This window comes from Homo sapiens, chromosome 3 (assembly GCF_000001405.40).
Source record: "Homo sapiens chromosome 3, GRCh38.p14 Primary Assembly".
Classification (NCBI taxonomy): Eukaryota; Metazoa; Chordata; class Mammalia; order Primates; family Hominidae; genus Homo; species Homo sapiens.
This window is the reverse complement of record NC_000003.12, coordinates 57,292,780-57,320,742: the sequence shown is the minus strand read 5'-3', so window position 1 is coordinate 57,320,742 and position 27,963 is coordinate 57,292,780. Positions and strand designations below refer to the sequence as shown.

Sequence of the window (27,963 nt, the reverse complement as noted above, 5' to 3'; positions counted from 1 at the left end):
TTCAGTGGGTCTGGGGTGAGGCTTAAGAATTTATAGTTCTAACAAATTCCCTGGTGATGTTGATGTGGCTGGTTCTGGAATCACACTTTGAAAACCATTGCCTTCCAGTTTCTGCAGGTGTGACTGGTTTGTAGACATATTGAAATTCCACTGAGGCTTCCAGAAATAGCTGGAATGCCTTTCGATAAGGCTAATTTCTGACAATTAGGCCAGCAATAATTTGAACTATCATCATTTGGCCATTAAAAGTAAATAAGATCTTTTTAGTCACAGGTTGTTGATATCTTGGGCGTTTGAATTACCTAGCAATGATAAGACATTCGTTATGAGTCTATAGATCTGCCTGCTGTACTCACTTTATTCTCCTTAAGGGCAGGGATACATTTCTGTATCTTCACTTATTTATTTAGTAAATATTTATTGAGTACCTACTAGGTGCAAGACATTCTTATAGGAACTGGTAATATGGCAATGAACATATATAAAAACATGTAAAAATTTCCTGTCTTTATGGAGCTGACATTTTAGTCAAAGGAAACCTGTGGAAAGCAAGCTCAACCATAATCCCCACAAACCTGGGGGACTTGTTAAAGCTACAGATGTCAGTGCCCTACTTCTGGAATTCTGATTCACTAAATTTGAAGTAAGGCTCAAGAACAAGCATAAATATAGCATATCATATATATACACCATGGCCAAGTGGGATTTATCCCCTGGGATGCTAAAATGATTCAACTTATAAAAATCAATTAATGTAATACACATTAACAGAAGAAAGATAAAAATCACATGATCATCTCACTAGATGCAGAAAAAGCATCCAACAAAATTCAACACTTTTTTATAATATAAACTCTCAGCTGGGCATGGTGGCTCATGCCTGTAATCCTGTCACTTTGGGAGACTGAGGTAGGAGGATCACTTGAGGTCAGGAGTTCAAGACCAGCCTAGCCAACATGGTGAAACCTGTCTCTACTAAAAATACAAAAAAAAAAAAAATTAGCAAGGTGTGGTGGCATGTGGCTATAATCCCAGTTACTCAGGAAGAGGCAGGAGAATTGCTTGAGCCTGTGAGGTGGAGGGTGCAGTGAGCTGAGATCGTGCCACTGCACTCCAGCCTGGGCAACAGAGCAAGACTCCATCTCAGGAAGAAACAAAACAAAACCAAAAAACAACTCTTAACAAACGAGGAATAGAAGAAAATTACCTCAACATAATAAAAGCCAATATGAAAATACCACAACTTATATTATACTCAACCATGGAAAAACTGAAAATTTTTCCTGTAAGATCAGAAAGAAGGCATGGAAGCCCACTCCTTCTACTTCTGTTCAACATAGACTGGAAGTCCTAGACTGAACAATTAGGCAAGAAAAAGAAACAGGAGGCATCCAAATCAAACCAGAAGAAGTAAAATTGTCCTTGTTTGCAGATGATGTGATCTTATGTATATAGAAAACCACAAAACTCCACACAAGAAAAACCTGTCAGAGCTAATCAATGAATTCAGTAAAGTTTAGGGTACAAAATCAACATATAAAAATTAGTTGCATTTCTGTACACCAACAACAAACTATCTGAAATGGAAATTAGGAAAACAATCCCATTTATAATAGTACCAAAAACAATAAAATACTTAGGAATAAATTCAACTGAGGAGGTGAAAGATATATACACTGAAAACTACAAAACATTGATGCAATAAGTTAAAGAAGACATGAACATGGAAAAATATCCCATGTTCATGGATTGGAAGACTTAAATTATTAAAATGTGCAAACTAACCAAAGTGATCTACAGATTTAATTTAGCAATCCCTATCAAAATCCCAATCTTAAAAACTCTAAAATTCATATAGAACCACAAAAGATCTTAAATGGCCAAACCAATGTTGAGAAAAAACAAAGCTAGAGGCTTTGTTCTCTGAAATCAGGCTACTTCCTGATTTCAAAATATAATACAAAGCTACAGTGATTAAAACAATATGGTACAGGTTAAGTATTCCTTATCTGGAATGCTTGGGATTTTTTTTTTTAATTTTGGAATATTTGCATTATACTTACCAGTTAACATTCCAAATACAAAAATACAAAACCTGAAATGCTCTAATGAGCATTTCCTTTGAGCATCATGTTGGTACTCAAAAAGTTTTGGATTTTGGAGCATTTTGGATTTTGGGTTTTGGGGTTTAGGATGCTCAACCTGTACTAGTATAAAGTCAGACATACAGACCAGAGGAAAAGAATAGAGAGCTCAGAAATCAATCTACACATATAAGGTCAACTGATCTTTGACAAAGGTGCCAAGAATATACAATGGGAGAAGTATAGTCTCTTCAACAACTGGTATTGAGAAAACTGCATATCCACATGCAAAAGAATGAAATTTAACTCCTATCTTACACTATACATAAAAATCAACTCAAAATGGATTAAAGACTTACATGTAAGATTTGAAACTGTAAAACTTACGGAAGAACACTTAGAAGGAAAGCTTCACGACATTGATCTTAGCAATAATTTCATAGATATGACACCAAAACACAGGCAACAAAAAGAAAGTGGGATCAAACCAAACTAAAAAGCTTCTGCACAGCAAAGGAAATGATCAACAAAGTGAAAAGCCAACCTAAGGAATGGGAGAAATTATTTGCAAACCATATATTAGATAAGGAGTTAATTTCCAAAATATATATGGAACACCTCAATAACAACAACAGAAAACAAAGAATAACCAGATTAAAAATGGGCTAAAGGTTTGAATAGACATTTCTCCAAAGAAGACATACAAATGGCCAACAGATATATGAAAAAATGCTCAATGTCAGTAGTCAGCAGGGAAATGCAAATCAAAACCACAATGAGATATCATCTCATACCTTCTGGGATGGCTATTTTCAAAAAAACAAAAACCAGCATGTATTAGCAAGGACAAAATTGGAGCCCTCATACACTGTTGGTGGTAATGCAAAGTGGTGCAGCCATTAAGGAAAACAGTATGGAGACTCTCAAAAAATTAAAAACAGAACATATGATCCAGCAGTCTCACTTCTGAGTATCCAAAAAAATTGAAATCAGGATCTCTAAGAGATATTAGCAGGCCAGTGTTCATTGCAGCACCATTCACAATAGCCAGTATGTGGAAACATCCTAAATGCCCATTCGTAGAATATTATTCAGCCTTAAAAAGAAGAAAATACTGCCATATATGACAACATGGATAAAACTTGAAGACATTATCCTAAGTGAACTAAGCCAGTCACAGAAAGAGAAATGCTGTATGATTCCACTTATATAGGGTATCAAAAATAGTCAAACTCATAGAATCAGAAGGTGGTTACCTGGGGCTGTGGGAGGGGGAAATAGGGAGTTGCTTATTAATGGGAATAGTGTCTCAATTATGCAAGGTGAATAAATTCTGGAGATTAGCTGTACAACATTGTCCTTATAGTTAACAATACTGTATTGTACATTTAAAAATTTAAGATGGTAGATTTCATGTTAAATGTTTTACCACAATAAAATGAAAATTATTAAAACATGTATGATGTAAACAAACAAATTTGCATGTTCAACTGCACGCAACAGCCATGATAGTGTTATGAACTAAGGGAGGACAAAGAAAGGAAGGGAGGAAAGGGGCAAACATTTATTGACCACCAGCAGATTTCAGTTAGTTTAAATATATAAGCCTTGCAACAGTCCTCTAATATAGGTATCATTTGCACACATCTATTTGTTAAATAAGGAAACTGAGGCTCAAATGAATTAAATAAATTATTGAGGTCATTGAATTAGTCCGTTCTTACACTGCTATAAAGAAATATCTGAGACTGGGTAATTTATAAAGGAAAGAGGTTTAATTGACTTACAATTCCACATGGCTGGGGAAGCCTCGGGAAACTTACAATCATGGTGGAAGGTGAGGGGGAAGCAAGCACCTTCTTCACAAGGCAGCAGGAGAGAGAACAGCAAAGGAAGAACTTCCAAACACTTATAAAACCATCGGATCTCGTGAGAACTCACTATCACAAGAACAGTATGGGGGAAACTGCCCCCATGATTGAGTCACCTCCCTCCCTCAACACGCAGGGATTATAGGTCCCTCCCTTGAAAAGCGGGGATTACAAATTGAGCTGAGATTTAGGTGGGGACACAGAGCCAAACGATATCAGTCGTACAGCTCAGCCCAGTGTTGGAGGTGGGATTTGGCACCCAGGACATCTGACTCTTTCCATTTGTGTGTGATTAACTCTGCTTGGCTGAGTTGAAAAAAAGCTTCATGGAAGAAATGATATTTGAAGTAGGCACAAGAAGTATGTTTAATATGCACAACTATTATGACAAGGTTGTTGAAAGAGCAATAAGGACCTCATTTTGGCTAAACTGGTAGGAAATAAGAATGGGAAGGAATATTGGGTCAAGACTGGAAGTCTTTACATGCCTTGCTAAGGAGTTTGAATGAGTCAACACAAAACAGCATCATGTCATAGAAAACAAACTAAAATGCATACCCTCACTGATGGCAGGTCAGTGGTATCATCTTTAGGCAGAGAAGACAGCATCCTACTGCCCCCTTGGCTTAGTCAAAAACAAGCAAAAAAAAAAAAGGGGAAGGGGTTATTTTTTAAGAAAGTATGTTTTAATGTTTAAAAGTTTTTTAAAGAATATCTAGTTTTTAGAATATCTAGATAACAGGACTGTGGCAAACTACTCTGACGTCCTTTGTCACAGCTCTTCGGTCCATATCTAATTTCAGCCACAATTGTAGAAGATAGTTCTTTGTGAGTTCAGACTCTTCATAGGCTACAGCACCTTATCTCAAGTATGCATCTTTCTGTTTTCTTTCCTCGAGATTTCTCTGATGCAACAGGAGCCTTCTTCGCCTGTAGACACACAAGCATAGACCAAAAATGTGGAGAAATTATCAACCCCAGGGGCAACCTTCAACTATTCAGAGACCACTTGTCCCAGCAGAACTGAGTCCTCATCACAGCAACAACTTCCATAATTCTTCCTGATACTTTTCCTCTTTCTCTGCCTCCCTTTCCCTACTCCTTTCCTGCTTCCTGGGATCACTTCTCCCATACACCCACCTTCACCCGCATCTTTCTCTCAAGGTCTACTTTTGGAGGAACCCAGTCTAGATAGAGTCCAAAGACAGAAACAAATGTGATCATTCAGTTTTCCAGAATTTTAAGGATGGTTCCTGCCTTAAGAAAACCCACTATTTAAAAATATGTAGAAAATACATGTAAATTAGATCATTGCTCTTATTGCTAAAGGTTCTTCCCCTATGAAATGTTTCACCACAGCATTCATCTAGTATGTTTAAAATATGCTTTGATGTACTTAGAACATTTCAAAAACGTATCTACTCAGTAAAGCATAGTGTACTTGCATTTTAATATTGAAGAATAATGTCTACTACTGCATTATATGAAAATAGCTGGATGGATTTTCACTGGATTTGGAGCTATGTTTGAAATATTCTAAATTAAAATACATGCTGTGTATCATACTTGAAATTTACTTGGGGGGGACCTTAAAGACTTGGGCGACCATCCTCTGGAACACTGACACAGATTTCTTGAGAAGCCCATGTGACATGCATATCACAGACACGGGGATGCCACAAAGCAGATCAAATAAACAATGGTTTCAAAAATGATTTTCAAATGGAAAGTCACAAAGTCATGAATGACATATTGGGATTTATTCATATCATAATGGTTAATCATTCCCCTGCACTTACAGTCTCAAGCATATGCCAGCAAGTTTACAGAATAACATTTAAGTATTGAAGTTGTAAATCTCTGCGAGTAATACCAAAGTATTATTAGTCAATACTTTGGTAAAATGATAACGTTTTTGCATTTTAACAAGGCTTAATATTACTATGGTTTGTCCAGATTTGGAGATTTGAATTAAATCATAAGATGAATACTATTTATAGTAAGTATTATTTTAGATAGGATTTTTTTAAAATAGAAGTTTGTAGAGATACGTGATCACAGAATCTTGTGAGAAAGATCATTTATCTATTCCTCTCATTTTACTGATGGAATCTGACCGGAATTTTTTTTCTTGTTATGTACTTTTTATATTAAAGGCCTGGGAGAAGTTACTGTTTGGAGTTTGTTTTTTTCATGCCCTTGTGCAAGAGAGAAAGAAATTTGGTCCTCTTGGTTGGAATATTCCATATGGATTTAATGAATCTGACTTGCGCATCAGTATCCGACAACTGCAGGTAAAATTAACAAGAAATTAACATTCATGAAGGATCACTATTTATCAGGCCCTAGGCAAGTCTTTTGCTTGGAATAGCTGATTCACTTCTCCCAACACTAACAGGTGGGTAGATGGTAATAACTATGGCTTATGAAGCACTATCTCCATCTGGATTCTTTGTGCTGCAAGTAATGGGAAATCTGATTCAAACTGGCTTAAACCACAATGAAACTCATTACTCACATAATAAAGAGGTGCAGAAGGACACACTCTGGGTTTGGTTGATTCGGCAACATCACAGTGTTGTCATCGAGGACCCTGGTTCTTTGTCTTTGTGCAGTGCCATTGTCAGTGTTGGCTTAACATATGTCCCCACTATCCTCTACTTTCCTCCACTTGGTCAAGTCTACAGCTTAGCTCTATCAATCAACAGAAACAGCTTGTCTACTTTCAGCAGAAAAATAATTTATTGAAAGGATATTGGGTAGCTCAAAGTATCACCAAGACAGCTGGAGAGTCAAGCTCAGAGAAGAGGCATCCAGAGTCAAATCCAAAATCACTCTGTGTCTGATAAGGCAGCATCTCTACCCTTGTTGAATATTAGACCCCAGAGCTTGTATGGCTGCCACATAGACTCTAGTCTATTGCAGGCCTCTGCTGTCGTGACCACATTCAAAGAGATTCTTTGCTGTTACTAATTTTTTTTGAGATGGGGTCTCGCTGTGTTGCCCAGGCTACAGTGCAGTGATGCAATCATAGCTCACTACAGCCTTGAACTCCTGAGTTCAAGCAATCCTCCTGCCTCAGCCTCTGGAGTAACTGGGACTACAGGCACATGCCACCATGCCCAGATAAGTTTGGAAACAGAGTTTCACTCTGTCACCCAGGCTGGAGTGCAGTGGCATGATCTCTGCTTACTGCAAGCTGTGCCTCCCAGTTCAAGCTATTCTTATGCCTCAGCCTCCCAAGTAGCTTGGACTACAGTTGTGTGCCACTGTGCTTGGCTAACTTTTTGTATTTTTTAGTAGAAATGGGGTTTTACCTTGTTGTTCAGGCTTGTCTCAAACTCCTGAGCTCAGGCAATCCACCTGCCTCACCTCCCAAAATGCTGAGATTACAGGTGTGAGCCACTATGCCCGGCCCCTTGTAAGTTTGTTGTTGTTTTTTTTAAACGTATTTTGTAGAGACAGGGTCTTGCTACGTTGTCCAGGCTGGTGTCAAACTCCTGGTCTCAAGCTGGGTTACAGGCATGAGCCACCATAGGTGGTCTGTTCTTGCTTCTCTGTACATTAATCCCCTACTTAGTTTAAGGTGGACGCATCTGAGTAGCCAAGCCCAGGTCACAGGCGTAGGCTTTAGCTGTAAGGGAGCTTGGGAAAGTGAGTAGCTGGCCTTTCACACAAACACAGAATATTAATATTTTTCTGCTCTTTTGCTGTTCTGAGGGGCCTTTTTGAAATAGGACCTAATGAAGTGAAAAGAGAAGCATTGATAAAGTCTAATTAATTGGTGCTATTAGATTTCAGTCAGGTAGGTTTTTGTAAGGCTATAAGCATTTAATCATATTTACACCAACCTTTAAAATAAAAATTGTTAACACATAATTTGTATAGAAATAGTTGATATTTTATCGAGTCTTTAAAAAATATCAGGGCAGAAACCTTAACTGGAATAAATATGTCCATTTGAAAATCCTTGTAACAGTTGTTGAGATTGGTGCCTATGGAATTGTAACTGCATGATGAAATGACGTTGATTTTAAACATTGGTTTTCGAGACCAATTTAGTTGGTACAGCCTAAGCTTGGAGAACATTTTGCCAAAACCATCATACTGCATATAATCAATCATCTTCTGGCCAAGCCCCAGCCTACAGCTTCTGATGTCATCAACCTTTCTAGCCCCAACATTGGAAACTGCCAGCATTGGCTGGATCCGTGTTTCATTTCTTCAGAAACTGGAAAGATGATTGAGGATTAATCCTTAAGCCATCTTCACCTGGTATGAGCAGGCTGCCTCTCTCCAAAAGGCAAATCAGAAAACTGATGGGGCTAAGTGGAAAGACAGCCAGAGAATGAGCTGTTGGTCTCCACTTCTTGCATATGCCACAAATTTAACATTACATTCTCGTGAAGTCTCTTCCTTCAGCTTTGGGAGGGGAAGGAACCCAGTTGAACACACCCTTCCCCTCCCCCAAAGAAGAGACATGGAAAAACTTTACTCTTTTTGCAAATAATTCATTTCCCAAAACGACGACCTTCCCTCTTTCTCAGTCCCCTTTCATATCTCTTGACGCCTCTCTTCCTCTTCAAAACGTGGGAGTCTTAAAGGATTAAGCCTTCTTTCAACTTGGTTCTAGAGAATTTAGAATTATTTTTTTCTCAACTGTGCATAATTAAGTAAACTTCAGGGGCAGGAAAAGCTCTCAACCCACAACTTATACCATCCCAATACACATACTATCAAAAATTCCTGTATATTAGAACAAGTATGGGATCTGGAACTGGAAGAAATAAATTCAGGCCTTCATATTACTTCACATTTACTAGACTGTTTCCTACTCTGCAGAGTTATTGAGAGGCGAATAAGACAATATAAAAACTATGCAAATGATAGTTTTTATTACTATTATTACAACAATAATAAGGAAACTAGAAATGATATGTATTGCCAGTGGAACTGTGTCATAGTGTGTGATTTATGCTGTTGCACTAAAGTTTGAAATTGCTTTGTTTTTAATCACATTGTGAAAAGTCTCCTAAACCAGGCACCTGGTTCTCAGCCTTAGCATGATTGGCATTTTGGGCCAGATAGTTCTTTGCTGTGGGCAGCTCTCCTGTGTATTGTCTAGCAGCAGCCCAGGCTTCTACCCAATAGATGCCAGTAACACCCCAGCCCCCACCACAGTTGTGACCATCTAAGTTATCTCCAGACATTGCCAAATGTAACCTGGGGGACAAAACCCCAGTTGATAGCTAGTGCCATAAAACAAGGTTTATCCACATTCATATGAAAAATACTTGGTAATTTCCATGTCGTCTTTTTTTATTAAATGTTTTTCTCATTACAGAAGCAATATGTCTTTATTTCAGAAAAAATTAGAGACACAGACAAGCAATTTAAGATAAAATACTATCAGCCAGCTGCAGTGGCTCACGCCTGTAATCCCAGCACTTTGGGAGGCTGAGTTGGGTGGATCACCTGAGGTCAGGAGTTCAAGACCAGTCTGGCCAACATGGTGAAACCCTGTCTCTACTAAAAATACAAAAAATTAGCTGGGCGTGGTGGCACACTCCTGTAATCCCAGCTACCTGGGAGGCTGAGGCAGGAGAATCGCTTGAACCTGGGAGGCGGAGGTTGCAGTGAGCTGAAATCATGCCTCTGCACTCCAGCCTGGGCGACAGAGCGAGACTGTCCAAAAAAAAACTAACAATCTCAGCTACCGAAAGACAACTCATGATAATTCTTTCAACCCCCTTTCTAGATAGATAGATACATACTTAAAATGGAAATGAAGTGAAATACTTTAAGGTTTTTCTTGTTTCATTTTTCCTTTGCTTCAGTTATTTATCAATGAATATGATACAATTCCATTTGAAGCTATATCTTACCTGACTGGGGAGTGTAATTATGGAGGAAGAGTGACAGACGATTGGGACAGACGTCTTCTATTAACCATGCTGGCTGACTTTTATAATCTGTACATAGTTGAAAACCCTCATTATAAGTTTTCTCCCAGTGGAAACTATTTTGCACCTCCTAAAGGCACTTATGAGGACTACATTGAATTCATTAAGGTAATGATGTCACCAAAAATAAGGTTAGATTAATGTGTGATTTTTCTAACAGCAAATGGTGAAATGTTCTTCTCTAATGTATAGGTTTAGACAAATATTATGGTTTTAATCAACTTTTAATAATCTTTTTCTAGTAATTACTGAAAATTAGAAAAGTTTGAGTATTCCATTATTTGATGTTGATTTTTAACCCTTTTTTGGTCTGCACATGTCTGCCTTATGAATTCATGTATTGTAGGAAAGGAAAAACTTTACCCTCTTAGGCTCAGTGCCAGGGGCCTGCCAATCAAACTGACAAAAAACAAATTAGCAGGAGAAGAGGCAGTATAGTTTGTATGGATATTAACATTTTTCTGTGCACATGAGCTTTGCAGAAAAGGAGTGAAAACCAAACGATGCAGTTGTACTTGGGCATATTTACCATTTTAACAGAGGGTGATAAATTGTAGAGACATGACTAGATAAAGGAAAGGGGGTTTAGAGTTCTAGGGGCAATACATTGTGGGAAAGTGATTAGGAAACATATGGGGGAAACTAGTGGAAGATAAGGATTATTTTGACTGAGGTCTGTTTATACAGACTCATCTCAGTGCCAGTTCTGTCTCCAGTGAGAAGGGTCATTCTCTTCATCCTGGTACAAGAAAGAGGAAATGTATGCTACAAGTCAAAAATGGAAATTGATGCCCTACTTTTAGACAGATAAGGGGAGGGCAGAGACCTCTTTCTGTATCTGTTAATTATTAATTGGCTTCAACTCACATAACCCCTATGCCAAAGTAGCATATTTTGGAGTAGCGTATCCTGATCATCCCTTTCAGTATCCAGGGAAAATATGATGCATGCTTAATTTGTTTTCTGGTAGAAACTTCCATTTACTCAACACCCTGAGATATTTGGATTACATGAAAACGTTGACATCTCCAAGGATCTTCAACAAACAAAAACCCTCTTTGAGTCCTTGCTCCTCACCCAGGGAGGCTCCAAACAGACAGGAGCCTCAGGAAGTACTGATCAGATTCTGTTAGAAATTACCAAAGATATCCTCAACAAGGTAATGTTCAGCTTAAAATATGTTACTTATAATATAAATAAAAATGATACTGAAATGACAATCTGAAAACTCCATGTACTAGCATTATGATCTTGAGCAAGAACTTTGCCTCTCTAAGCATTAGCCTCCAAATCCGTTAAATGGTGATAATACTACCAATTTTTTTAAGTTTTTTGAGAACATTAAAGACATCATGAATTTAAAGTGGCTTATAAAATGCCTGGCATATAGTAAGTTCTTAGTAACTGTGGTTGTGGATGAGCTAAGGTACATAGGACTTATATACATTACTGTACGTTATGAGCTAATGTACATATACACCCTAGTATTAGCTATTATTATATAATGGCTGAATTAAGCTAATTATCCATTCTGAGAATAATTTGTGATCTTCAAAATCTATTCTTTTAGCTCCCTAGTGATTTCGACATTGAAATGGCACTACGGAAGTATCCTGTGAGATATGAAGAAAGCATGAATACTGTGTTAGTACAAGAAATGGAAAGATTTAACAAGTAAGGATCTATATCCCCAGTGATTCAGAAGGCAACTGTCTTCTTATATTAATAAGAAAAATAAAATAGTGTTGAAGTGTTGGGGCGGCGAAAATTTTGAGGGTGGTATGAAGAGAGAATGGGCGATGTTTCTCAGGGCTGCTTCAAGCGGGATTAGGGGCGGTGTGGGAACCTAGAGTGGGAGAGATTAAGCTGAAGGCAGATTTTGTGGTAAGGGGTGATATTGTAGGGTTGTTAGAAGAAACATTTGTCTTACAGAATTATTGGTGATGGCCTGGATACGGTTTTGTATGAATTAAAAAATTAAATGGAATAAGAGAAGAAGAAAAACAGGTATTAAAGGACTAAGAATTGGGAGGACCTAGGACATCTAATTAGAGAGTGCCTGAGGAGGTTCAGCGTAGCCTTGCCAGCAAAGATTATTTATTTACTTTAAGAGTTAAGAGTGGCGGTTTGGGGATAGCACCAGGAGATATCAGCTGTGATGGCTTGGAAAACAGTGTAAACCGGCAGTGTAAACAAGAGCAGGGCATTTATGAGTAGTTGAGAATGGTGAATAGGAGTATGACTAGACAAGATAGCAGGGATGACAAGTTTTTTGGGGCACAGTCCAAGTTGATCTGGTGTCTGGAATGAGACTGGGGCCTAATAAAAAGGAGTGTCTATACAGGAGCTTAAATGGGCTGTACCTTGTAGCATTCTGAGGACAGGCCTGAATTCTGAGAAGGGCAAGTGGTAAAAGTATTGTCCAGTCATTTTTAAGTTGGTGGCTGAGCTTGGCGAGGTGTGTTTTTAAAAGACCATTAGTTCACTGAATACTAAGAGCCTGAGGAACTGCTTGGGTGATTTGACTAATAAAGTCCGGTCCATTATAGGACTGTATAGAGGTGGGAAGGCCAGAGAGAGGAATTATGTCTGACAGAAGGGAAGAAGTGACCATGGTGGCCTTCTTAGACCCTGTGGGAAAGGCCTCTACCTATCCAGTGAAAGTGTCTACCCAGACCAAGAGGTATTTTAGTTTCCTGACTCAGGGCATGTCAAGTAAAGCCAATTTGCCAGTCCTGGGCGGGGGCAAATCCCTGAGCTTGATGTGTAGGGAAGGGAGGGGGCCTGAATAATCCCTGAAGAGTAGTAGAATAGCAGATGGAACACTGAGAAGTTATTTCCTTGAGGATAGAGTTCCACGATGGAAAGGAAATGAGAGGTTCTAAGAGGCAGGTTAGTGGCTTGTACTATAGCATAGCCTGCCTTTGCTGGTGTGTGGCAATTAGGCCTGGTGGAACTGCCATCAGTAAACCAAGTGTGATCAGGGTGAGGAACAGGAAAGAAGGAAATATGGGAAAATGGGGTGAATGTCAGGTGGATCAGAGAGATACAGTTATGGGGGTCAGGTGTGGTATCAGGAATAATGTGGGAGGCCAGATTGTAGTCCCTGCCAGGAACAATGGTAATTGTGGGAGACTCAACAAAGAGTGAGTACAGCTGAAGGAGCCAGGGAGCAGAAAGTGTATGTGTCAGGTGTGAGGAAGAAAATAGATTTTGGAAATTATGAGAACTATAGAGAGTGAGTTGAGCATAGTTTGTGATTTTAAGGGCCTCTAAAAGTATTAGGGTGGTGGCGGCCACTGCACGCAGACTTGAGGGCTAGGCAAAACAGTAAGGTCAAGTTGTTTGGATAAAAAGGCTACAGGGCGCAGTCGCAGTTCTTGTGTAAGAATTCTGACTGCACAGCCCCGTATTTGGGCTGTGGGTAATGAAAAGGGTTGGGATGAGTCAGGGAGAGCTAGGGTGGGGGCAGTCTCTAAAGCTGTCTTCAAGGAATGGAAAGAGGAGTGGGGAAAGGATTTAGGATCTATGGGGTCAGCTAGGTTTCCTTTTGTGAGTTTATATAATGTTTTTTGGCAAAACCAGGTATCTAAAGTCGTATCTAACCATGCCTAGGAAGGAAAGGAGTTGTTGTTTTGTAGGTGCTGGGGTTTGAGAGATCAGTCGGACACGATCGGCAGGGAGAGCACATGTGTTTTTATGAGAATTATGCCGAGATAGGTAACAGATGAGGAAGAAATTTGGGCGTGACTGAAGAAATGGGGGCTGTCTGAAGCCTTGTGGCAGTACAGCCCAGGTAGTTTGCTGAGCCTGATGGGTGTCAGGGTCAGTCCAAGTGAAAGCGAAGAGAGGCTGGGATGAAGGGTGCAAAGAATAGTAAAGAAAGCATGTTTAAGATCCAGAACAGAATAATGGGTTGTGTAGGGAGGTATTGAGGATAGGAGAGTATATGGGTTTGGCACCACGGGGTGGATAGGCAAAACAATTTGGTTGATAAGGCACAGATCCTGAACTAACCTGTAAGCCTTGTCTGGTTTTAGGACAGGTAAAATGGGGGAATTGTAAGGGGAGTTTATAGGCTTTAAAAGGCCATGCTGTGGCAGGCGAGTGATAACAGACTTTAATCCTCTTAAAGTGTGCTGTGGGATGGGATATTGGCATTATGCGGGGTAAGGGTGATTAGGTTTTAATGGGATGGTAAGGGGTGCATGATCGGTCGCTAAGGAGGGAGTAGCAGTGTCCTATACTTGTGGGTTAAGGTGGGGAGATACAAGGGGAGGATGTGAAGCAGGCTTTGAACTGGGGGAAAAGGCGGCAATGAGGTGTGGCTGTAGCCCAGGAATAGTCAGGGAAGCAGATAATTTAGTTAAAGTGTCTCAGCCTAATAAGGGAACTGGGCAGGTGGGGATAACTAAAAAGGAGTGCTTAAAAGAGTATTGTCTAAGTTGGCACCAGAGTTGGGGAGTTTTAAGAGGTTTAGAAGCCTGGCCGTCAATACCCACAACAGTTATGGCGGCAAGGGAAACAGACCCTTGAAAAGAAGGTAATGTGAAGTGGGTAGCCTCTGTATTGATTAAGAAGGGGACGGACTTACCTTCCACTGTGAGAGTTACCCGAAGCTTGGCATCCGTGATGGTTTAGGGGCTTCTGAGGCGATCGGGCAGTGTCAGTCTTCAGCCGCTAAGCGGAGAAGATCTGGGAAGGAGTCAGTCAGAGAGCCTTGGGCCAGAGTTCCAGGGGCTCTGGGAGTGGCTGCCAGGTGAGTTGAACGGTCCGATTTTCAGTGGGGTCCCGCACAGATGGGACGTGGCTTATGAGGAATCCCGGGCTGCGGGCATTTCTTGGCCCAGTGGCCAGATTTCTGGCACTTGTAGCAAGCTCCTGGGGGAGGAGGTTCTGGAGGAAAGCCTCGGTGCTGCGGTTCAGGCGTTTTGAAGTTCTTGTGTGCTGGAGACGTGGCTGGGGTTTGTCTCACAGTGGAGGCAAGGAATTGCAACTTTTTTCTATTATCATACACCTTGAAGGCAAGGTTAATTAAGTCCTGTTGTGGGGTTTGAGGGCCGGAATTTAATTTTTGGAGCTTTATTTAAAGTCAGAAGCGGATTGGGTAATAAAATGTATATTGAGAATAAGACGGCCTTTTGACCTTTTAGGGTCTAGGGCTGTAAAGCGTCTCAGGGTTGCCGCCAAATGAGTCATGAACTGGCTGGGTTTTTCATATTTGATGAAAAAGAGCCTAAACACTAACTGATTTGGGAGAAGTGGGATAAAGAAAAAGGAGCATTAACCTTGACTATGTCTTTAGCTCCAGCCACCTTTTTAAGAGTAAATTGCTGGGCAGGAGGGGGAGGGCTAGTCGCGGAATGAAACTGTAAGCTGGACCGGGTGTGAGGAGGGGAGGTGATAAAAAGATTATAGGGTGGAGGAGCGGAGGCTGAGGAAGAATTGGGACCTAGCTCGGCCTGGCGAGGAGCAGCCTGGGGAGGAGGGGAGAGGTCAGATGGGTCTGTAGAAAAGGAAGATTAGAAAGACTCAGCGACGCTTGGGGTTGGGATTGAGGGGAGAGGTGAGAGGGAAAGAAGGAGGGTTTGGGATGAGTCGCATCGGGAACAGAGACTAGGGAGGGAACAATGTGTAAAAGAATGCCTGGACGTCAGGCACCTCAGACTGTTTGCCTATTTTACAATAAGAATTATTTAGATCTTGTAGGATGGAAAAATCGAAAGTGCCGTTTTCTGGCTATTTGGAACCACTGTCGAGTTTGTATTGGGGTCAAGCGGCATTGCAGAAGAAAATGAGGCATTTAGGTTTAGGTCAGGTGTGAGTTGAAGAGGTTTTAAGTTCTTCAGAACACAGGCTAAGGGAGAAAAAGGAGGAATGGAGGGTGGAAGGCTGCCCATGGTGAAGGAGGCAAGCCCAGAGAAAAGAGAGTAGAGACACGAAGAGAAGGGGTGGGGGGTGCTTGCCCCCCAGGAAAGTGGAGAAGGGGTAGAGACATGGAGAGAAGGGGTCAGAGAGTTCTTGCCCTCCAGAAAAGCAGAAAAGGTGTAGAGACACGGAGAAAAGGGGTCGGGGGGTTCTGGCCCTCCAGAAAAGCGGTACTTGCTGCTAAGGGTGAAGGACCAAGGCAGGCATCCCTGTGTGGTCAGACACCTCTGAAACGTGGGTGAATAATCAGGCAGGTGTCCCCTGCGTGATTAAAAACCAAGGGAAGACTGTCTTCCCAAGTCCATGTTCAGCGCCGGAGTTTTGGGTTCACGGATAAAATGCATCTCCTTTGTCTCTACCAGAAAAGGAAAGGAACTGAAATTGAGAGAAGAGAGAGATTGAAGTTTGGCGCCAAGATTGAAAGGAGAAAGAGGTTGAGGGATAGTAAGAGAGGTTGGAGAAGAGAGTAAAAAAAAGGCTGCTTACCTGATTTAAAATTGGTGAGATATTCCTTGGGCTGGTCGGTCTGAGGACCCGAGGTCATAGGTGGATCTTTCTCACCGAGCAAAGAGCAGGAGGACAGGGGAGTGATCTCCCAAGGGAGGTCCCCCGATCCGAGTCATGGCACCAAATTTCACTCGCTTCCATGTGGAGAGACCACCAAACAGGCTTTCTGTGAGCAATAAAGCTTTTAATCACCTGGGTGCACGCAGGCTGAGTCCGAAAAGAGAGGTTTTGTCAGTGAAGGGAGATGGGGTGGGGCCGTTTTATAAGATTTGGGTAGGTAAAGGAAAATTACAGTCAAAGGGGGGTTGTTCTCTGGCGGGCAGGAGTGGGGGGTCACAAGGTGCTCAGTGGGGGAGATTTTTGAGCCAGGATGAGCCAGGAAAAGGAATTTCACAAGGTAATGTCATCAGTTAAGGCATGGACCAGCCATTTTCACTTCTTTTGGGGTGGAATGGCATCAGTTAAGGCAGGAACAGGCCATTTAAATTTCACTTCTTTTGTGATTCTTCAGTTACTTCAGGCCATCTGGATGTATACGTGCAGGTCACAGGGGATATGATGGCTTAGCTTGGGCTCAGAGTCCTGACAGCAACCATCCAAAGTCAATAAAAACACACAATGGTATTGAGCTGAAAAGACTATTAAATCCTGTCATTTCATTGGAATTTTCCCCTTTTAAAAAGTTCTGGCCAGGCTCAGTGACTCATACTATAACCCCAACACTTTATAAGGCCGAGGCAGGAGGATCGCTTGAGCCCTGAAATCCCAGCTTCGGAAACATGGCAAAACCCCGTCAACAAAAATTTAAAAATTATCCAGGCGTGGTAGCGGGCACCTGTAGTCTCAGCTACTTGGGAGGCCAAGGTGGGAGAATCGCTTGAGCCTGGGAGATGGAGGCTGCAGTGAACAGAGATCGTGGCACTGCACTCCAGCCTGTGTTACACAGTGAGACCTTGTCTCAAAAAAAAAAAAAAAGAAAAAGAAAAGAAAGAAAAAGTTCCATATCTTCTGTCTCAGAAGAGAGGGTATCTTTTTTTTTTTTTTTTTTTTGAGCTGGCGTCTTTGCTCTGTCGCCCAGGCTGGAGTGCAGTGGCAAGATCTGGGCTCACTGCAAGCTCTGCCTCCTGGGTTCACGCCATTCTCCTGACTCAGCCTCCTGAGTAGCTGGGACTACAGGCGCCCACCACCACGACTGGCTAATTTTTTGTATTTTTAGTAGAGATGGGGTTTCACCATGTTAGCCAGGATGGTCTCGATCTCCTGACCTCGTGATGCACCCGCGTCGGCCTCTCCAAGTGCTGGGATTACAGGCGTGAGCCACCACGCCCAGTTGAGTGGGTATTTTTTAAAATGTAAAAATGATGATGAAAAGAGATCTGTTATTACTGGTTAAAAATATTCATTAATCATAACTTCTCATCCATCTGTTAACTATTCTTCTTAGGAATTAGAGACAGAATAAACATTAGCTAGACCTATGTGTAGTCACATCTTTTGTCATTTTTCTGCTACCTGGCCAGGCGCAGTGGCTCACGCCTGTAATCCCAGCACTTTGGGAGGCCGAGGCAGGTGAATCACCTGAGGTCAGGAGTTCGAGACCAGCCTGGCCAACATGGTGAAACCCCTTCTCTACTAAAAATACAGAAATTAGCTGGGTGTGGTGGTGCATGCCTGCAATCTCAGTTACGCAGGAGGCTGAGGCAGGAGAATTGCTTGAACCTGGGAGGGGGAGGTTGCAGTGAGCCGAGATCATGCCGCTGCACTCCAGCCTGGGCAACAGAATGAAACTCTGTCTCAAAAAAAAAAAAAAAAAAAAAAAAAATACATATATATATATATATATATATATATATATATATACACCTGATGCCTTAGTTAATTCAGCATTTCTTATACAAAAGTTATATTTATGTATATATAATAACACAGTATCTCTCAGCTGCTCAGGCTTCTAGCCTAAAAACTCTCACTACAAGTATATTTATGGTATTCTTAACAAGTTGGGCCTAAGTGCAAGTAAAGTATTTGCAAGTGTATAAATGAATATACAATTTATGTTTTCATGCAGTGTTTGTTTCAGCCATTGCACGACATCATTACAGCTTTTTCATATTTGCCTGTCACCTGAAATATTACTTACCTAATATTTTTCCTTAAATCATTGTCTGCTTAAATTAGCCAGGTCCTAAGCAAAAATAGCCAGAAAGCAAAAATTTTGATATGCTAGTTGTATTACTTTCTATATTTTAAAATATGTATGTAATGATTAAAATGAAAAATGTTCATACATGTATCACTTAACATTAGCTCACGTACCACCACATGGGAGGTGACACATTTTGGGAAGCAATCCCATAAAGCTGGGAATGAAATTCCTGCTGTTCTTCTTCTGGAAAGACCGTATGTTGATATCATCATATATGTTGATGACATAATTTCTTTCATTGCAGTTTAATTATAACTATACGTAACACTCTACGGGACCTTGAAAAAGCTATTAAGGGTGTGGTTGTGATGGATTCTGCATTGGAGGCACTCTCCGGTAGCTTACTTGTTGGAAAGGTTCCAGAAATATGGGCCAAACGTTCATACCCAAGCCTTAAGCCCCTGGGAAGTTACATCACAGATTTCCTAGCCCGGTTGAACTTTTTACAGGTAAAATGTGTGTGTGTGTGTGTGTGTGTGTGTGTGTGTGTGTGTGTGTGTGTGTGTAAAATACATGTATAAATATGTAAAATATACAGACACATGTAAAATTTTATTTTTTGGGTTAACTGGGGAGATATTAGTTGTTGGCTGTGGTCACTTGAGTGTCTCTGAGTTGAATGAAATGTGATGAGTAGCTTTGTGATAGTCTGATGAAAATTTTAGAATATTGAAAAATATACACATTTCAAAGTACTGAGTGGAAAATTAAAATTATACTTCAGCCAAACCAATGTAATATGTGACATTTATATTTTTCAAAATTCGAAGTTTGTGGTTTTCTGAGACCAAGATTCTAAGTTTGTGGTCCTGTAAGACCACAGTTTAAAGTTGTCTTGTGATTTTAATACTGATGGTAAGTCAAAAATCCTGAGGCTTGGATTTTTTTTTTTTTTTTTTTTTTTTTTTTTTTTTTTTTGAGACAGGGTCTTGCTCTGTCATCCAGGCTGGAGTGCAGTGGTGTGATCTTAGCTCACTGTAATCTCAAAATCCTGGGATCCTCTTGAATAACTGGAACTACAGGCATGTGCCACCATACGTGGCTAATTTTACTTTTTGTAGAGATGGAGTCTCACCAAGTACCCCACGCTGGTGCCTCACTCCTGACCTCAAGCAATCCTCCCACCTTGGCCTCCCAAAGCACTGGGATTACAGGCCAGAGGCTTGGGTTTATCAATAATTGGCCATTGTCTTTAAATCAGTGCCTCTTATCTCAGAAAACCAGGGAAAAGATAAGTATTTTGAATGCCCCCTCTGCCCTCCCCCCAGCATAAACATCAGACAGAACACTGCTTTTCCTTCTCAACTCCACTGCCTGCCCCCATTCTATGGTTGATGTTTATGAAGGAGTATGGGGTGGGGAGAATCCCAAAACTATTTTTTTTTTGGAAATTCTCAAAGGTATATGATCTTTCAGTGTTCAGTTGCCTTTTTATTGCACAAAAGCTTTCTTTCACTGTATAAGCTAATCATAAAATAACCAGTGCTTGTAAGAATGTAGAGAGACAGACTTTCTCCTATATCGCTTTAAAATTTTTGCCAATCTGATAGGTCAACCATATCTTGCTGTTTCCATTCGACTTTCTTTAATGACTAGTGAGCCTATGCTTCTTTAGTATGTGTGATTTCCATTTGTGGTGTGTGTGGGTGTGTGTGTGTACTGTCAATTCATATCCTAGGCCCATTTTTCTTTTGTATTATTTATTAATTGATAGGAGCTTTTCATGTAGATTATATGTTTAACAAAAGGAATAATACAAAACAGAATATTGAAAGGGTTTCCTCCATTGTTCTCTTACCCTTATAGAAGCTATAGTTCTCTCATTATCTTTCTTTCTCTTGGACTCTTCTTTACCTCCTAATGGTTCTTAGAGTTAACAAGTTAAGCAAATGAGTCATCTGAATTTTCTATTATTTCTGTCTTGGGTGCAACTGACTGGGGCCAGCGTCATGGTCAGTAAAACAATTTACCAAGACAATCGTAGGTAAAGAAAGGCAGATTTATTAGAGAAAGTATGAAAATACATTGAAACAGTGCAGTGGGCAGCACAGCAGAGAAGAGGCTATCTGCAAAGAACCAGGGGCTGGAGGGAAGTTTTGTAGGGTGGTACTAGAGGGGCTATGCAGAACAAGGTGGTGCTGCTCGGGCTACAGGCACAGCAAGGTATTTGGAAACAAGATGTGCTAGTGGATTGTCTGTAATTAGACATTTTTCAGAACAATTGTTCTCCCCCACGTGGGGCCCTTTCCTCATTGTTACAGGACTCTACACTTTCCTCATTTCTCTCTCACTGTTCACCCTATCGATCTCCTTTTTAGTCAGTTCAGGCTGCTATAAAAAAGCAAAATAGACTAGATAACTTAAAGAACAGACATTTATTTCTCAAGCTCTGGAGGCTGGAAAGTCTGAGATCAAGATGCCATCATGGTCAGGTTACTGGTGACAGCTCTCCTGGTTCACGATGAGAGAAAAAGAGAAAAATGTCTCTTCTGTTTCTTCTTATAAGGGTGCTAATCCTATCATGAGGGCTCCACCCTTATGACCTAATTACCTCCCAAAGGCTCCATCTCCAAATACCATCACCTTGGAGATGAGGGTTTCAATCTATGAATTTTGGAGGAAAACAAACATTCAGTCCATAGCATCTTCACATTCTCTCCTTCCTGTGCCTTTTTTTTAAAAAAAAAACTTTTTGCACACTGCCTAAAATCCCAGCATAAATCCTGATCTAACACTTAACTATCTTTGTGACTTTTAGCAAGTTACTCATCTTTCTGTACCCCAGTTTCTTCATCTGTAAAATGACAGAAATAATATTCAACTCACTGTTATTTTATAGAGTAAATGAGGCAATGCATATGAAATGTTTAGCACAGTGCCTGGCATGTACTAAGCACTTAGTAAATGGTAGCTAATTCAGAGGTAGTACAAGTAGCTGACCACAGACACTAATGACACTCTGGGATAAAGGAAGCCACGGGCGAGTGGGTTTTCTAAATGTTTGCCTTGTGGGTCTTTACAGCTTTCTTGTGCTTGGTGCTCGCTCTCCCTGGTTTTACCCTTGTCAGACTTCATCTCTTTCTCTGCCTCTTCTTGACCTGACAGCTTGTACTGTTGCAGCATCTCCAGCAGCAGTTTGTTCTCTTCCTCCTATGGAGCAAAACTGGCTTCTTCCCAGAGTGTATTGCCTGCTCAGAGACAAAGTCCATTTCATTGATTCATCTGTTCATTCCATAAATATGAATTGAGACCTCATTTTATTCAAAGCACCTTGTGTGTCCTGTGATAAAAAGATAATCACAACAAAAGTCCTGCCCTGAAGCTGCCAAGAGCTTACAGGGGACAAGCCATGTATCTAAAGAAAATTAGTACACTATAGTAAGGGATGTTCCATAAGAGACCAACATGTAAAATGCTCTGGGATTTCAAAGAAGGGAGAGAGTTCTTATGGCACAAGAAAGCAGAGATTGTTTCATGGATGAGGTAGCATTTAAGTGGGATTTAAAGAATGAATGGTTTAGATACTGCAAAGAAAGGAAAAAGAGATCACTATGTAGCTTATGGGATAAAAAGCACTGTACCACTTTGGATTGATTCCATTATAAGTAACAAAAATTCTGACATAAGCAAAAATGAAGTTTGTTCCCTCATGTAACTGCAAACTCCAGGAGCTAAAGTGGCTTCAGGTAACATTTGACCAGGGTGCAAACATGGATATCTTGTCCTGGCTTCTTGCACTTCATCTGTTGTCTCCATTCCCTTTGGGTAAACTCCATTCTCAGGCTGTCATCTGATGGTAGCAAGATAGCAACAGCAACTCTGGCCTCACATCCACCCAACTTTGAGGAGTTGAGAGTGAGTCTTTTCTCCGAAAGTCCCAGCAAGAGTTTCTGCATCTCTGGCTTTGATTGGGTCACATGTCCATTTCTGAATCAGTCACTCAGGCTGGAAGTATGACTGGCCAGGTGTGAGTCACCAGCCTACCCTGCATGGCTAGGTGGAGTTCTACCACCAGAGGTGCCTGGACTGAGAAGCTTGGACTGAGAAGGATGGTATCACTTCAAGATAGGCAGGAAAACAACAAATGTCCACCCAGCACAAAGAGACCAGCAAATAGTCCAGTCCCTTTAGTCCAGTCCAGATTAGAATGCAGGATGCCTGAAAGGAAGTAAAAGAGATATAATAGAACTGAAAATACATTGGGGATGGATTGTGAAGTATCTATGTTTTTGGTTTGTTTGTTTGTGTGAAGTATCTTGAATAGGAGACCAAGAGGCTTAAGCTTTAATTTGGTGCATCACTGAACAATTTGGTAGGTCACTGATGCTACACTGATGCAAGATGCTACGTCTGATCCAAATTCTGCACGGTGAGTTATATTCTGGCAATTCTTCTGGATAGATTGAGCAGAAAGGGAAGAAGCAAGAAGACAACATGCACTGGTACAGAAAGAAGACCATGAATAGCTGAACTGGAGTGAGGGCAGTGGACACAGAGACAAGGGGTTTAAGAGGGTTAAGGAACTGGGGGCCGGGCGCGGTGGCTCACACCTGTGATCCCAGGACTTTGGGAGGCCAAGGTAGGCAGATCACTTGAAGTCAGGAGTTCCAGACCAGCCTGGCCAACATGCTGAAACCCCATCTCTACTAGAAATACAAAAACTAGCCAGGCATGGTGGTGCACGCCTGTAATCCCAGCTACTCAGGAGGCTGAGACAGGAGAATCACTCGAACCCAGGAGGCAGAGGCTGCAGTGAGCTAAGATCATGCCACTGCACTCCAGCCTGGGTAATGGTGCGCGATTTCATCTCAAAAAAAAAAAAAATAGGGTTAAGGAACTGGAATCAACAAATGAGGTCTATAATTAGACAATGTGTAAGATGTCTAATGATGGTTGCTTTTGAGTGGGATGATATAATAAAGCATCAAATAATTTACATTTGGCTTTTGCAGAAGATTTGACTCTTCAAACTATGTTTCATTCACGTTAATGCTCAAATTGTTCTGAGTTTTCCAAGAAGAGTAGAAGGGGAAAGAGGTGAGAGGGCCAAGGTAGGCTGTGTGTTTGACGTCAGGGAAGAGGGCCTCGTGATGGAAAATGTGGGCAACATAAGCAAAAACCAGAATCAGGAATTGTACATCAGGTGGCACTTGTATAACTTTAAAAACTGACATAATGTGTTTTGTTTTCCCTTTGTAGGACTGGTATAATTCAGGAAAACCTTGTGTGTTTTGGCTGTCAGGTTTCTTTTTCACTCAGGCCTTTTTAACTGGAGCTATGCAGAATTATGCCAGAAAATATACCACCCCTATTGATTTGCTAGGATATGAATTTGAGGTATAGTAACTCCTTAAAGTCAACAGTATATCATTACATTAAGTCATGTATTTAAACCGAGTTTATGTATTGTAACCCATTGTAAGCAATTTTACTTCATTCTTTGTGTTGTAAGAATATTTGTCTTGCTATCCCTTAGAACTTTTATATATTGCAATATTTGATTTAAATAATCCAACGCTGTTCTTCTACTTTAGCAAAAATTATGAGGTACAGTACAATCTGATAAAATACTTCAAAAAGAAGTACTTTTATACTTTTTTACAAACTACGGCTGAAAAAATGTATAGTTTAACAAGCTATTATACAATAGAGTTTCCCTGAATGTGTTCTGAATATTTCGCTAATGTGTTCTTTATGAGATGAAGTTGTCTGGAGAGGATCACTGCTAGTGTGTGCCTATCCCTTCAGGTTATCCCATCTGATACATCTGACACATCACCAGAAGATGGTGTTTATATCCACGGACTGTATCTCGATGGCGCACGCTGGGACCGAGAAAGGTCAGTGGATTCAGCTGCCAGGACCTCTTCATTTGTAGCTGAATCATAGATAAGATAAGCAATCTGTTGCTTAAAAAAAAAGTCCTCTTTTAAGGCAAGTAATAATAACATCAGAACTCTCACATAAATTATTAGTCAAGCTGGGGCAACTGATGAGTTGTTATTTTTAGGTCTTGAATAATTTTTAGTCAATATTTCAGTAGTCTTATTAGTAGAAAAGTTAGCTGAAATTATTTTCCTGCCTATTCCATTTTATAACAGTTTCCTTCTATTTTGTAATGTGTAGGACCACCTCACTTTTAAATGGTTTACAGTTAGTTATAATGAAGTTCACCTTTCTGTTAGTGAATGGGAAACCTTTTCTTGCATTTTGATGAGATAATAAATAAATATTTACAATAAATACTGAATTTCCTGCTTCACTCAGGAAATTAAGCAATACTATTCCTGTTTAAAATATATGGGATAGAGAAAAGGAGACAAAGTTTCCCTTGGAGCCCTGGCCACATGGACAATCATTAAAAATTGGCAGACATTCATATGTGTCCACTGTTTACCCTTTGCCTTTCCATCATTGTCTTTTGTTTCTCTCAATTCTTCATTGCCATTTTCTCATTTTCTTTTTTTACATTTCTTTTTCTCTATGCCTCTAGTCCTTTCTTTTAGTAAAAGCCAATATCTAAGTAGCAATCTGTTCTCAGAAGTGAATTTCATGTTATTTCTAATAATTTCTGTCAATTTCTCGTTACAGTGGATTGCTTGCTGAACAATATCCCAAACTTCTGTTTGACCTGATGCCCATCATATGGATAAAACCAAGTAAATATTCTCTCAACAAAATTTATTTGAAGTTTAGGGAGAATAAGGATGGATATTATACACTGCTCCCCAAAATAAGTTTTTGCTCAAACCTTTTAGGATCTAGCTCAATTATAATAAACATTAATAGAACATTTACATTAGAAATTATTATTATCTCTTTGTGTGTATGGCATTTATATTATTTTGGGAATACCATGCTGCTTTTTTATCGTAGCCTATGGGATATGTCATTCTTTTCAGCCCCTCCCCCCACTTCTACAAGGGGGTTCACAGATTGAACAGCTGCCCATCCATATTTTGATTCTGAATTCCCTTTACACATTGCTCAGAGGCACAAATTAGCTTGACACAGTCTCCCGCTAGTGACTAGCATTTTCTGGCTATAAGAAACTGCTAGGCCTAGGAGCCAGCCAGGTCCCCCAAGGCATAGATGTTGCTAGCCACATGGGGTGGGGGCCAATTTTGCCCCATTTAGGAAACTGCTTGCTCCTCCCCTGCTTCTGCCATCATCATCTTTCTACAAGTCTGGAAAAAAAAGTCTCATTCTTTTGTTTTCTCTTCCCTAACTTTTTAATTCTTAAATAACAACAATTTCTTAAAATATTTACTGATCACCCAGAATCACCATCCAACCTATCAAATATTCTCATTACGAATGTGGTTCAGTTATAACTATGAGAAACGTGACCTTAGTTTGGAAAGACTCTTAATATCTTATATCTGGCTTTTTGGGGATTGTATATAGTTTCTTTTCATGAATTGGTAAGAGTTGACATGTTTTTCTTATTATTTACCTGCTAAAAACAAATAGAAACGTCAGCTTCTTCTAATGTGTGGGTTTCTTGGATTAGAGCTCTAAGCAGTTGTATTTCTTCTTTTGAGTCTCCCCCACTACCTATACTGTATTTTATTCCTTCTTCCCTCCCTTCTCATTCTCCCCTCCCAAATCCTCTTGAGTTTTCTCATGCCTGCTAAGCGGTCAGAACTTTAAAGTCTATTCCTGTCTTCCACACCTAGAATCATGCACCATACGAAATACTTGCCTTGGGCTGGGCGCAGTGGCTCACGCCTGTAATCCCAGCACTTTGGGAGGCTGAGGCGGGCAGATCACGAGGTCAGGGGTTCAAGACCAGCCTGGCCAACATAGTGAAACCCCGTCTCTACTAAAAATACAAAAATTAGCAAGGCATGGTGGCAGGCACCTGTAGTCCCACCTACTCAGGAGGCTGAGACAAGAGAATCGCTTGAACCTGGGAGGCAGAGGTTGCAGTGAGCCGAGATTGTGCCACTGTACTCCAGCCTAGGTGACAGAGTGAGACTCAGTCTCCAAAAAAAAAAAAAAAAAGAAAAGAAAAGAAATACTTGCCTTGTTTCACAACCGTAATACTATATGTACTGTAAAAAAATATATATGCTGTAAAACCTTCATATATCACAATTATGATCTTAGATTTAGTTCTGGCCATTTTATTACAAGATAAATAGTTCTTTTCGTACCAATGGCTGTTTTTCCCTTTATCAAGTGAATATATTTCTTTTTTTTTTTCAAGCTCAAAAATCTCGGATTATAAAGTCGGATGCCTATGTCTGTCCCCTCTACAAGACAAGTGAACGTAAAGGAACTCTTTCCACTACGGGACATTCTACTAACTTTGTCATTGCAATGTTGTTAAAAACAGACCAACCTACTCGGCACTGGATCAAGCGCGGGGTTGCTTTGCTTTGTCAGTTGGATGACTAAATTGGACAAATTTATAAAACATCCAAAAGTTTAAAAAAAAAAAAACCTGTCCTACTTAAAATATATACATTATAAAACCAAGTGTTTTGGTGTTATTCTTTTAAATGATCTTTGCAAACACTCATTGCATTGTTCTCCTTTCTGAGGAGAACTTTTTGAAGTTTGATTGTATGTGAAAAATAGATTTGGGGGTTAAACGGTAACATTTAACAAATATCAGGAATTATCTCCTTCACAAATGTTAAGTCATTCCTTCAGCTTCAGTATAGTTTACTTTCCACTCTCCTACCTAAAGTAATTATACATAAATATTTCAAATACATAAATTAAGAAATTATAAATATGGAAAATATTAAAAGTTACCCAACTATACCTCTTTATTTCTTACCTCTAAGACATCGGTTCCATTTCTCACTGCATCCTTGTGACTAGGAAAGGAAACTCAAAGCTGCGAAGTTGGCCTGCAAAGGCAGTAGGATGGCTTGAGGGCAGTCCGAACTTCTACACCTGCAGTGACAGTGTGCTTCTCGGCATTTGCTTCATATTTAATTTGAAATGTCAAGTGGTCCCTTTGCTTTTTTTAGTGTATATTAACAATTTAAAAATATTTCAACAAAACAGAATTTTGATCAAAATTTTATCTTGTGTAGAGTGAATTCTTCCCTTAGGATTCCAAGGACACTGAAGGCCACAGTTCTGTAACCCAAGGAAAATGTAGTCACAGCTACCTAGTGAATCTAGTACATTGGGACAGTCACTTTGGATAATTGGGTCAGAGCAAAATGTTTGGGTTCTCTTAAGTGAAAAATTGATTGTGGTTTGCAGTGGCTATGTGCATGAATTCTCTTTGCATGGCCAACCCCCTGCAAAAGCATTTTATTCCAGGAATAAAATATTTAATCCTTTAAATTTGATGAATGTAGCACTGAAGAAAAGAGATCATGTTTCCAAAAAGAGCTAAACCACATGTAAAAAACAAGGAGAATGTGCCAAACTGTCTT

The 27,963-nt window shown here is 40.2% G+C and overlaps 1 protein-coding gene and 1 long non-coding RNA gene across 9 annotated transcripts in view, besides 1 other annotated feature; one reads left to right on the top strand and one right to left on the bottom strand.

Moving 5' to 3' along the window:
• DNAH12 (dynein axonemal heavy chain 12) overlaps positions 1–27,043 on the top strand; it is a 262,335-nt gene extending 235,292 nt beyond the window's left edge. For 7 of the 8 annotated variants that reach the window (XM_047447667.1, XM_011533468.2, XM_047447668.1 and 4 more), the window contains 9 exons: positions 6,112–6,249; positions 9,793–10,026; positions 10,889–11,077; positions 11,489–11,592; positions 18,804–19,008; positions 23,759–23,896; positions 24,308–24,399; positions 25,151–25,218; positions 26,772–27,043. In XM_047447667.1, coding sequence (XP_047303623.1) covers positions 6,112–6,249; positions 9,793–10,026; positions 10,889–11,077; positions 11,489–11,592; positions 18,804–19,008; positions 23,759–23,896; positions 24,308–24,399; positions 25,151–25,218; positions 26,772–26,962 — 1,359 coding nt within the window. In that variant the 3' untranslated portion in view covers positions 26,963–27,043. Of the gene's footprint in view, positions 1–6,111; positions 6,250–9,792; positions 10,027–10,888; positions 11,078–11,488; positions 11,593–18,803; positions 19,009–22,875; positions 23,145–23,758; positions 23,897–24,307; positions 24,400–25,150; positions 25,219–26,771 lie in introns of those variants that run through there. The other variant, XM_017005860.2, reaches the window with a different exon arrangement.
• Positions 10,456–10,656: a silencer, noted in NCBI's record as "peak4666 fragment used in MPRA reporter construct". NCBI's record gives its function as "represses an SCP1 promoter by STARR-seq MPRAs in K562 erythroleukemia cells {active_cell/tissue: K562}" and the evidence as "EXISTENCE:reporter gene assay evidence [ECO:0000049][PMID:32103011]".
• LOC124909384 (uncharacterized) lies at positions 20,541–27,952 on the bottom strand. The gene is made up of 2 exons (XR_007095923.1): positions 27,351–27,952; positions 20,541–22,717 (listed from the first exon to the last, which is right to left on the bottom strand). It is a non-coding gene; the product is annotated as an uncharacterized LOC124909384 (long non-coding RNA).
• Positions 27,953–27,963: the final 11 nt, after the last annotated feature.